The sequence below is a fragment of the Homo sapiens genome, chromosome 12, assembly GCF_000001405.40.
Source record: "Homo sapiens chromosome 12, GRCh38.p14 Primary Assembly".
In the NCBI taxonomy this organism is placed as follows: Eukaryota; Metazoa; Chordata; class Mammalia; order Primates; family Hominidae; genus Homo; species Homo sapiens.
In genome coordinates this window covers 94432950-94445385 of record NC_000012.12, presented here as the reverse complement: position 1 = coordinate 94445385, position 12436 = coordinate 94432950, and the positions used below count along the sequence as shown (strand labels likewise).

Here is a 12436-nt window from a genome sequence, read left to right as displayed (position 1 = left end):
TAGGAGGTTTATAGTTTAGGTTTTTAATTCAGGCCTCTGATTTATTTTGATCCTATTTTTGTATATGGCGTGGGGAGCAACTTGAAGTTCTTTGTGTGTGTGTGTGTGTGTGTATGGAAAAGGCAATTGTTCCAGGACCATTTGTTGAAAAGACTATCCTTTCTTCACTGAATTGACTGCATTTTTGTCAGAAATCAATTGACTGTTTCTATTTGACTCTATTTCTGGACAGTCTTTTTTGTTTAATGGATTTTTGTGACTGATTTAATACTACATAGTTTTCATTTCTATGGCACTTTAATAAGTGAAGTCAGGTAATGCAAGTCTTCTAACTTTGTTCTTTTTCAAAGTTTTTTTTTTGGCTCTTCTGGGTCCCTTGTGTTTCCATATGAATTTTAGAATCAGCTTGTTAATTTCTATGAAAACTTGGTATTTTGAATGACACTGCATTGAATTTGGGAGAAATTAACATCTTAACAATATTGAATTTTCTGATCCACAAATATGGCATTTCTTGCTATTGTAACCTGCTTTTTAAAAACAATTATAAAATAGATATAGAGTCTCACTATGTTGCCCAGGCTGATCTTGAACTCCTGGGGTGAAGTGAGCCTCCCACCTCGACCTCCCAAAATGCTGAGATTACGGGCATGAGCCACCACACCTGGCCATGACCTGCTTTTTTAATAGTCTCTTTTTCCATTGTAAACACCACTATTAAGTTAGTACCATGAGGATAAGAACTGATTCTATCCTCCATTCCTACCTGGAATTTAGGATGCACTCAGTAAACATTTACTGAATGACAAATAAAAGAAGATTCTTGAACATAAATGTTTGTGCATCTCTAATTAGTTTCTCAGGATTAATTCCTAAAATTAGAATTACTAAATGAAAAGATATATTCATTTTGAAAGCTTTTGCTTAGTAGACTGTCCTCCAGAATTTTTAACTTTTGAGGTAGAAATTTCTTTTCTTTTCTTTTCGGAGTTGGAGTTTTGTTCTTGTTGCCCAGGCTGGAGTACAATGGCCTGATCTCGGCTCACTGGAACCTCTGCATCCCACGTTCAAGTGATTATCCTCTCTCAGCCTCCTGAGTACTGGGATTACAGGTGCTTGCCACCATGCCTGGCTAATTTTTGTATCTTTAGTTGAGAAAGGGTTTCACCACGTTGGCCAGGCTGATCTTGAATTTCTGACCTCAGGTGATCTGCCCACCTCGGTCTCCCAAAGTACTGGAATTACGGGCGTGAGCCACCACGCCCGGCCTGAGGTAGAAATTTCTTGATAACTAACTATAACGCATGCATAATTGGTTAGCAAACAGTGTTCTTGGTGACATCCTTCCCCAAGGTTTCTCTGAAATTACATTACAAGCCTATGGGAGAGTAGGATTCACATCATAGAAATTTTGTGGATCACTTTACTGTCATTAACAGTTTACTGGAATTGGGAACTATGAAGATGAACAAAACAGTAGAAGATTATATGTAGTTTTTCCTTTGAGGAATTTATAGTTTCTTTGGAAAACGTAGTTTATATAGTTATAAAGCATCTGGAGGGGAAAAGTGCAGACATTATAGAATATAGAATAAATTAGGCCGGGCACAGTGGCTCATGCCTGTAATCCCAGCACTTTGCGAGGCCAAGGTGGGTGGATCACTTGAAGTCAGGAGTTCGAGACCAGCCTTGCCAACATGGTGAAACCCTATCTCTAAAAATACAAAAAATAGCCGGGCGTGGTGCATGCCTGTAATCCCAGCCACTCGGGAGGCTGAGGCAGGAGAATCACTTGAACCCGCGGGACGGAGGTTGCAGTGAGCTGAGATTGCGCCATTGTACTCTAGCCTGGGTGACAGGGTGAGGTTCTGTCTCAAAAAAATATATGTTTATATAGAATAAATATCCTGGGGCAAGCACAAGGAAGGCAGGAACCTATAAAGCACATGGACAAAAGCTACTCTTTCTGTTCACTTTTAGAGCAACTAAAACTCCGAAAATAGTTTTGTGATTTTGCAGACTGTAGGGTTTCAGGTTTGACTCTGTGATTTGTGGATTAATAGACAAGGTTTAAGAAGGTATTTTAATTTGGCATAACTGTATGAACAAAGTTGTGAAGGCAAAGAGAAATGTGTTTGAGGGTCTGTAAACTTAATTGACTCTAGCAAAGGGGTCCTGGGGGTCTGTAAACTTAATTGACTCTAGCAAAGGGGTCCTGTGGGGCAGCAAAATGTTTGAATTTGTATAGGGAGCTGGCTAATACGGGGCTGTGAGTTTAGCTGGGAAATTTAGATTTGAGTCAGGAAAGAATAAGGATTATCATAGGAGTTATAGTGACGAAGGCAATGTATGAGAAAGATTGTTTTGGTGATATTTGTAGGCTATGTAAGAATGAGAAAATACTAAAGTCTGGGACACTGTCTAGGAGGCTTCTGTTAAGTGTAAAATATTTAAGATTCGGCACTGGAGTGTGATGGCTCTAGAAATGGGGAAGAATGATTAAATTCAACAAACAGATGAAGAAGAATCAGTAGGATTAATTTGTTATAAATAGAGGATAGAGGATGGGTAGTGGTTAGGAAATGAGAGGAGGATAGTGGTAACTGACTTTTTTAAGGAGACAAGTAGAAAATTTGAACCTAATGAACTGAATTTTTGTTAAGTTGATGTAGCGGATAAAATGTGATAACTTTTCCTCACCTATTACTAGATTCATGACTGAGACCCCTATAACAAAAGACAGATTATCAAGAGGAAAGCATACACATTTATTTAATGAAACCTTTACTTTATATGAGTCTTCAGAAGTGAAGACTGAAAGAAACAGGGAAACCTTTCTTTCCGTGTTTTTTCTAAAAAAAAAATCATTATTTCAATAGTTTTGGGGGAACAGGTGGTGTTTGGTTACATGGATAACTTATTTAGTGGTGATTTCTGAGATTTTCCTGCACCCATCACTTGAGCAGTGTACACTGCACCCGGTGTGTAGTCTTTTAACCCTCACCCCCCTCCCTCCTTCCCCCCAGGTCCCCAGAGTCCATTATATCAGTCTTATGCCTTTGCATTCTCATAGCTTAGCTTCCACTTGTGAGAAGATACGGTGTTTGGTTTTCCATTCCTGAGTTACTTCAGTTAGAATAATGGCCTCCAATTCCATCTCGGTTGCTGTGAATAATGGCCTCCAATGCCATCTCAGTTGCTGTGAATGCCATTATTTCATTCCTTTTTATGGCTGAGTAGTATTGCATTATATATATATATACCTACCACATTTTCTTTATCTACTCATTGGTTGATGGGCATTTAGTCTGGTTCCATATTTTTGCAGTTGCAAATGTGCTGCTATAAACATGCATGTTCAAGTGTCTTTTTCATATAATGACTTCTTTTCCTCTGGGTAGATACCCAATAGTGAGATTGCTGGATCAAATGGTAGTTCTACTTTTAGTTTTTTTTTTTTTTTTTTTTTTTGAGACGGAGTCTCGCTCTGTCGCCCAGGCTGGAGTGCAGTGGTGCGATCTCGGCTCACTGCAAGCTCTGCCTCCTGGGTTCACACCATTCTCCTGCCTCAGCCTCCCGAGTAGCTGGGGCTACAGGTGCCCACCACCACACCCAGCTAATTTTTTGTATTTTTAGTAGAGACGGGGTTTTACCATGTTAGTCAAGATGGTCTTGATCTCCTGGCCTTGTGATCCACCCGCCTCGGCCTCCCAAAGTGCTGGGATTACAGGCGTGAGCCACAACGCCCAGCCTACTTTTCATTCGTTAAGGAATCTCCACACTGTTTTCTATAGTGGTTGTACTAGTTTACCTTCCCACCAGCAGTGTAAAAGTGTTCCCTTTTCACTACATCCTTGTCACCATCTATTATTTTTTGATTTTTAAATTATGGCCATTCTTGCAGGAGTAAGGTGGTAGTGCATTGTGGTTTTGATTTGCATTTCCCTGATAGTGATGTTGAACATTTTTTCATATGTCTGTTGGCCATTTGTATATCTTTTGAGAATTGTCTATTCATGTCCTTTCCCTAATTTTTGATGGGAATATTTGGTTTTTTTCTTGCAGATTTGTTTGAGTTCCTCGTAGATTCTGGATATTAGTCCTTTGTGGGATGCATAGTTTGTGAATATTTTCTCCCACTCTGTGGGTTGCCTGTTCACTCTGCTGATTATTTCTTTTGCTGTGCAGAAGCTTTTTAGTTTCATTAAGTCCCATCCATTTATTTCATTTTTGTTGCATTTGGTTCTTGGTCGTGAACTCTTTGCCTAAGCCAATGTCTAGAAGAGTTTTTCTGATATTATTTTCTAGAATTTTTATGGTTTCAGGTCTTAGATTTAAGTCTTTAATCCATCTTGAGTTGATTTTTGTGTAAGGTGAGAGTTGAGATTCCACTTTCATTCTTTTACATGTGGCTTGTCAATTGTCCCAGCACCATTTGTTGAATAGGTTGTCGTTTCTCTACTTTATGTTTTTGTTTGCTTTGTCAAATATCAGTTGGCTGTAAGTACTTGGCTTTGTTTCTGGGTTCTCTGTTCTGTTCCATTGATCTATGTGCCTGTTTTTATGCCAGTACCATGCTGTTTTGGTAACTATAGCCTTGGTATAGTTTGAAGTTGGGTAATGTGATACCTCCAGATCTGTTCTTTGTGCTTAGTATTGCTTTGCAGGCCCTTTTTTGGTTTCATATGAATTTTAGGATTTTTTTTCTAGATCTGTGAAGAACGATGGTGGTATTTTGATGGGAATTGCATTGAATTTGTAGATTGCTCTTGGCAGTATGGTCATTTTCACAATATTGATTCTACCCATCCATGCGCATGGGATATATTTCCATTTGTGTCATCTGTGATTTCTTTCAGCTTTTTTTTTTTGTAGTTTTCCTTGTAGAGGTCTTTTCGCCTCCTTGGTTAGGTATATTCCTAAGTATTTTATTTTATTTTTTGCAGCTATTGTAAAAGGGGTTGAGTTCTTGATTTGGTTCTCAGCTTGGTGGCTGTTGGTATACAGCAGAGCTACTCATCTGTGTACATCAATTTTGTATCCTAAAACTTTGCCGAATTCATTTACCAGTTATAGGAGCTTTTTGGATGAGTTTTTAGGGTTTTCTAGGTATATGATCATATCATCAGCAAACTGCAACACTTTGACTTCATCTTTACCACTTTGGATGCTCTTGATTTCTTTCTCTTGTCTGATTGTTCTGGCTAGGACTTCCAGTAGTGTGTTGAATAGAAGTGGTGAAAGTGGACATCCTTGTCTTGTTCTAGTTCTCAGGGGGAATGCTTTAAACTTTTCTCTGTTCAGTGTAATGTTGGCTGTGGGTTTGTCATAGAGGGCTTTTATTATCTTAAGGTATGTCCCTTCTATGCCGATGTTGCAGACGGTTTTAATCATAAAGGGATCTGAATTTTGTCATGCTTTTTCTGCGTCTGTTGAGATGATGTGGTTTTTGTTTTTAATTCTGTTTATATGGTGTATTACATTTATTGACTTCCATTTGTTAAGCCAACCCTGCATCCCTGGTATAAAACCCACTTGTTCATGGTGTATTTTCTTTTTGACATGCTGTTGGACTTGGTTAGCTAGTATTTTGTTGAGGATTTTTGCATCTATGTTCATCAGGGATATTGGTGTGTGGTTTTCTTTTTTTGTTATGTCCTTTCCTGGTTTTGCTATTAGGATAATACTGGCTTCATAGAATGATTTAGGGAGGATTCCCTCTTTTTCTGTGTTTTGGAATAGCTTCAGTAGGATTCATACCAATTCTTCTTTGAATGTCTGATAGAATTCAGCTGTGAATCCATCAGGTCCTGGACTTTTTTTTTTTTTGTTGGCATTTTTTTTGTTTATTACTGTTTCAATCTTGCTACTTGTTATTGACCTGTTCAGTTTGTTTCTATTTCTTCCTAGTTTAATCTAGGAGGGTTGTATCTTTTCAGGAATTTATCCATCTCCTCTAGGTTTTCTAGTTTGTGTGCATAAAGATGTTCATAGTAGCCATACAAAAGCACAATCTTTTGTATTTCTGTGGTATCACTTTTGATATCTCCTATTTTGTTTCTAATTGAGCTGTTTGGATCTACTCTCTTCTCTTGATAATCTCGCTAATGGTCTGTCGATTTTGTCTTTTCAAAGAGCCAGCTTTTTGTCTAATTTATCTTTTGTATTTTGTTGTTGTTCTTGTTGTTGTGTTTCAATTTCATTTAGTTCTGATCTTTGTTATTTCTTTTCTTCTGCTGGGTTTTGGTTTGGTCTGTTCTTGTTTCTCTAATTCTGTGAGTTGTGAGGTTAGATAATCTATTTGTGCTTTTTCAGAATTTTTGTTGTAGACAGTGATTGCTATGAACTTTCCTCTTAGCACCACTGTTTTTGCTGTATTGCAGAGGGTTGATAGGTTGTGTCACTGTTATCGTTCAGTTCAAAGAATTTTAAAATTTCCATCTTGATTTCATTGTTGACCCAGAGGTCATTCAGGAGCAGGTTTAAATTTCCATATATTTGTATAGTTTTGAAGCTTCCTTTGGAGTTAATTTCTAGTTTTATTCTGCTGTGATCTTAGAGAATATTTGATATAATTTTGATTTTCTTAAATTTATTGAGACTTGTTTTGTGGTCTATCTTGGAGAATGTTCCATGTGTTGATGAAAAGAATATATTCTGCAATTGTTGGGTAGAATGTTCTGTAAATATCTGTTAAGTCCATTTGTTTTAGGGTATAGTCTGTTGTTTCCTTGTTGACTTTCTGTCTTAATGACTTGTCTAGTGCTGTTAGTGGAGTATTGAAGTCTCTCACTGTTTTGTTGCCATGTATCTCATTTCTTAGGTCTAGTAGTAATTGTTTTATAAATTTCGGAGCTCCAGTGTTAGGTGCATATGTTTTTGGGATTGTGATATTTTCCTGTTGGACTAATCCTTTTATCATTATATAATGTCTATCTTTGCCTTTTTAAACTGATGTTGCTTTAAAGTTTGTTTTGTCTGATATAAGAATAGCTGTTCCTGCTCACGTTTGGTTTCCATTTGCGTGGAATATCTTTTTCCACCCCTTTACCTTATAAGTTTATATGAGTCCTTATGTATTAGGTGAGTCTCTTGAAGGCAGCAGATACTTGGTAGATTTTTATCCATTCTGCTGTTCTGCATCTTTTTTTTTTTTCTTTTTTTTAATTGGGACAGTCTCACTCAGTCACCCAGGCTAGAGTGCAATGACATGATCTCGGCTCACTGCAACCTCTGCTCCCTGGGTTCAAGCGATTCTCGTGCCTCTGCCTCCCGAGTAGCTGGGTTTACAGGCACCTGCCACCATGCCTGGGTAATTTTTTTGTATTTTTAGTAGAGATGGGCTTTTGCCGTGTTGGCCAGGCTGGTCTTGAACTCCTGACCTCAGGTGATCTGCCCACCTTGGCCTCCCAAAGTGCTGGGATTACAGGTGTGAGCCACTGTGCTGGCCTCTGTATCTTTTCAGTGGAACATTTAGGCAATTTACATTCAACATCAGTATTGAGATGTGAGATACTATTTTATTCATCATACTAGTTGCTGCCTAATTACCTTTTTTTGTTTGCATTGTGTTATTGTTCTGTAGGTCTTGTGAGATTTATGCTTTAAGAAAGGTTCTATTTTGATGTTTTGAGATTGTTTCAAGAGTCAGAACTCCTTTTAGCAGTTCTTGTAGTGCTGGCTTGGCAGTGGTGAATTCTCTGAGCATTCGTTTGTATGAAAAAGACTCTATTGCTCTTTCATTATAAAATTTAGTTTTGCTAGATATGGAATTATTGGCTGATAATTTTTTGTTTAAAGAGACTGAAGATAGGACCCAATTCCTTCTAGCTTGTAGGGTTTCTGCTGAGAAATCTGCTGTTAATCTGTTAGGTTTTCCTTTGTAGGTTACCTAATGCTTTTGCCTCACAGCTGTTAAGATTCTTTTCTTTGTCTTGACTTTAGATAACCTGATGACTGTGTGCCTAGGTGATCTTTTTGTGATGAATTTCCTGGGTGTTCTTTGAGCTTCTTGTATTTGTTTGTGTGTGTGTATGTGTTTTAGACCAAGTCTTGCCCTGTTGCCCAGGCTGGAGTGCAGTGGCACGATCTTGGCTCATTGCAGCCTCCACCTGCCAGGTTCAGGTGATTGTCCTGCCTCAGCCTCCTAGTAGCTGGGACTACAGGCCCACACCACCATGCCTAGGTAATTTTTTTTTTTTTTTAGTTTAGTTGGGGTTTCACCATTTTGGCCAGGCTGGTCTCAAACTCCTGACCTTGAGTGATCCTCCTGCCTTGGCCTCCCGAAGTGCTGGATTACAGGCATGAGCCACCACGCCTGGCCAAGCTGCTTGTATTTGGATGTCTAGATATCTATCAAAACCGGGGAAGTTTTCCTCAATTATTCCCTCAAATAGTTTCCTAAACTTTTGGATTTCTCTTCTTCCTTAGGGACAGCAATTATTCTTATGTTGGGTCTTTTAACGTCCCAAGTTTCTTGGAGGCTTTATTCATTTTCTAAAATAATTTTTTCTTCTCTTTTCTTTTCTTTTTCTTTCCTTCTTTCTTTTTTTTTTTTTTGAGATGGAGTCTCCCCCTGTTGCCCAGGCTGGAGTGCAATGGCGTGATCTTGGCTCACTGCAACCTCCTCCGGGTTCAAGTGATTCTCCTGCCTCAGCCTCCCGAGTAGCTGGGACTACAGGTGCACGCCACTGTGCCTGGCTAATTTTTGTATTTTTAGTGGAGATGGGATTTCACCATGTTAGCCAGGATGGTCTTGATCTCCTGACCTTGTGGTCCACCTGCCTCAGCCTCCTGAGGTGCTGGGATTATAAGCTGAGCCACTGCTCCCAGCCAAAATTATTTTTTCTTTGTCTTTGTCAGATTGGGTTAATTCGAGAGCCCTGTCTTTGGGCTCTAAAATTCTTCTACTTGTTCAGTTCTGTTGTTGGAACTTTTCAGTGCATTTTGCATTTCTCTAAGTGTGTATTTAATTTCCAGAAGTTGTGGTTGTCTTTTTTTTATGATGTATATTTCTCTGGAGACTTTTTCATCCATATCCTGTTTTTTATTTTTTTTTTTATTTGTTCAAGTTGTTTTTCACTTTTCTCTAGTGCCCCCTTGAGTAGCTTAATAATCAACCTTCCAAATTCTTTATCTGGCAATTCAGAGATTTGTTCTTGTTTTGGATCCATTGCTGGAGAGCTAGTGTGATCTTTTGGGGGTGTTATCAAACTTCGTTTTGCCATATTACCAGAATTACTTTCCTGGTTCCTTTTTATTTGTATGTTTCAGTGGAAAGATCTAGAACTGAAGGACTGCTGTTCAGATTTTTTTTTTTTGTCCCACAGGGTGATTCCTTGATGTGGAGTCACCCCCTTCCCCTAGGGATGGGGCTTCCTAGGAGCCAGACTGAGGTGATTGTTATTACCGTTCTGGGTCTAGCCACCCAGCAGGGTTACTGGGCTCCAGGCTGGTGCTGGCGAATGTCTGCAAGTTGTCTTGTGATATAATCTGTCTTCAGGTCTCCCAGCTGTGGATACCAGCACCTGCTGTAGTGGAGGTGGCAGGAGAGTGAATGCTGGTTAGGCTAGCGGTTGAAGTTGTCATGTGGACAGACTCAGGACCTCTGATTAGCCAGGGAGTTGCAGGCAGTTGAATTAGCTGCTGTTTTCTCCGTTGGAACAGAGTTGTTCTGTTAGGAGTTGCTGAAATGGCTTGAGTTGGTTGGCCTCCAGTCAGGAAGTGGCAATTTCAAGAGAGGAGCAGCTGCGGTAGTAGAAGGGGGATATAATCTTGCCCTGCATTGGCAGGATAAGTACTGGGGTTTCTCAGATGATGGACAGGCCCATAGAGCTCCCGAGAGTTCATGTCTTTTGTCTTTGGAGTTTTTTGGCTGTCTTGTGGCATTTGCAGCAGTAAACTGCTTTTTTCAAAGGGTCTGTCTCTCTGTTTTTTTGTGGACAGTCATGCAGAAGTATCGTTAGAGGACAAATGGGTATGCTCTAGCAGTAACAAACTGGGGGAAACTTAGTAAGTCCTGTTTGTTCAGATTCCTCTTTGTGTCTTCTCTCCTACAGGTATAGGGAGGACACCTCTGGATTGAGGATCTTATGACCTACTTTAGAGGAAGGTGAGATAAACCTTCTTGCTTCTGCTTTTTTCTCAAATGCCAAGGTGCCATATTTTGGGTAGTCTGTCTTAAATCCCATCTTTGAGCTTCTGTTATAGAGAGAACATGTAAGTAGAGGGGGATTCATAAGCAGAGAGAGGTTAGGAACTAGGGTGCAAATTTCAGTGTCATTCAGATAAAGTAATAGATGAAGCTTTGAGAGGTGCAGCTTGACTTTTCTTACAAGATGGGAATAAGGGACCAGAGAATAAGGAAGAGTATTTAATAATTTCAGTTCAAGTGAAGGGACTAGTATAATGCTTTATACAGGTTGAGGATCCCTAATCCCATAATCCAGAATGCTCTGAAATCTGAAACTTTTTGAACACCAACATGACACCGTGTGGAAAATTTCAAACCTGACCTCATGTGATGGGTTGCAGTCAAAATGCAGGCATACAACACGCAGTTTATTAAGCACCTTCAAGGGAAAAATAAAATTACCTTCAGGCTATGTGTATGTATAAGGTATATATGGAACATAAATGAATTTTATGTTTAGACTTGCGTCCCATCCCCAAGATACTCATTATGTACATGCAAATATTCTAAAATCTGAAAAAATTCAAAATCTGAAATCCTTCTGGTCCCAGGCATTTTACATAAGGGATATTCAACTTGTATTTACAGTTAGTAAAGTGCTTTTGCCTACCTAATATTGTGACATTTTTAAAAGTTTGATTTTTCAACCTTAACTTTTCAAATGTATTATTATACTTGTACACATTAACTCATTACTATGGTTTTGAGCTTTCCTATTTTCTAAACCGGTTTTCTTACGTCTCTGCTGTAAAAAATATTTTCTAAGATAATTTGTATAACTTGAAAAGTCTTACCACAAGGTGTCATTGTAACCTATAAAAAGAATTTCCATGTAAACATTTGCGTTATCATTTGTACAATTTTTACATTTTTTTGTGTATAAACATTTTTTTGTTTCATATCTCTTATTTTTTAGTTGTATCCTAATAGATTGTGTATCTCTTGTATTAAAGGAAAAAATAAAATAGCTCATGTTCTTGAGTTCTCATATTTTTGCACAAACATATGCTTTCCACCCACAAATTCTTTAAGAGTGTGTTGCTATAGAGATGATTTGTTTGAAGGAAAGAATGAGGAGGAGTAGCAGCAGGTGGACATTTAAGGAACAAAATCCTTATTTTATGTCTTTGTTCCCGACAGAGCCAGCTTTAGAGTTTGCCCCTCTGCTTATGAAATCCCTATGGAAAAAAGGTAGTTATTCTGAGTGTTTTACAGTGATGGTATTTGCAGTTTACTAAGATTCATTTGCCAAAGGTCAGTGTACAGGATTCCTCATTCTTATGTAGGATTAGTGCTTGAAGTAATTGTAATCTTTGAAACAACCTTTCTTTCACTTTAACTGGATTCCATTTTAGTGTTTATTCTTTGCTTTCCTATCTTGGTTTCCTGATAGGCCTTTTAACTAGTGACATTAAAATACTTTTTGCTGGGGGATGGGTATAGGTATCTAATTATTAACTCCTGCTCTTGCTGCCCCCAAATTAATTTTCTTTTCTTTTCTTTTTTTTTTTTGAGACAGGGTCTCACCTCGTCACCCAGGCTGGAGTGCAGTGGTGCGATCTTGGCTCACTGCAGCCTCGACCCTCCTGGGCTCAAGCGATCTTCCCACCTCAGCCACCTGAGTAGCTGGGACCATAGGCACATGCTACCACACCGGGCTAATTTTTGTATTTTTCTTAGAAACAGGCTTTCACCATGTTGCCCAGGCTGTTCTTGAACTCCTGAGCTCAAGGCATCTGCCTGCCTTGACCTCCTAAAGTGCTAGGATTATAGGTATGAGCCACTGCGCCTGGCTTCAAATTAATTTTCAAGATTATTGACTACCTGCTGCTACTGTCTTAGTTAAGGCCCTCATTATTACTTTCCTGGACCTTTGATCTCCTTTTCTTTTTCTCTTTCTTCTATTCTTCCTCCTCAAATCTATCCTCTGCAAATAAACGACTTATTTTTCTGAAATGTAAATGTGAGTCTACCCCGTAATGTCTTCTATCCATCTAAAAGTTTAAAATCTTTCACTGGCTCTCCAAGACCATGGAATAAATTCCAGTCTTCTGCATGTGGCCTTCTAGGCCCTACCTTACCTCCCCAGGGTGTTCTCCTCTCCTCTGCCCTCCACCACTAATGTTCTTCTCCTTAATCTCCATTATTTTGCACTTGATGTTTCTTCCTTGCATCCCTTTGTTAATTTTAGCTGCTGCTTTGTGAAGTTTTCCCTGGCAGCTTCACTAGCAGAATTAGGGTTCT

The 12436-nt window shown here is 38.9% G+C and overlaps 1 protein-coding gene across 35 annotated transcripts in view, besides 1 other annotated feature; it reads left to right on the top strand.

Annotated features, from left to right (window-relative positions):
* Nucleotides 1–12436, top strand: part of CEP83 (centrosomal protein 83) — a 194793-nt gene that overhangs the window by 15069 nt on the left and 167288 nt on the right. For 15 of the 35 annotated variants that reach the window (NR_160431.1, NR_144441.2, XM_017019386.3 and 12 more), the window contains exon 2: nt 10059–10111. The exons of 19 other annotated variants lie outside the window; for them this stretch is intronic. The gene's annotated coding sequence lies outside the window, so the exon portion shown is untranslated. Of the gene's footprint in view, nt 1–10058; nt 10112–11332; nt 11384–12436 lie in introns of all 35 variants that reach the window. One more of the 35 variants, XM_011538424.3, reaches the window with a different exon arrangement.
* Nucleotides 9833–9882: an enhancer, noted in NCBI's record as "active region_6784". NCBI's record gives its function as "activates an Ori minimal core promoter by ATAC-STARR-seq in GM12878 lymphoblastoid cells {active_cell/tissue: GM12878}" and the evidence as "EXISTENCE:reporter gene assay evidence [ECO:0000049][PMID:35858748]".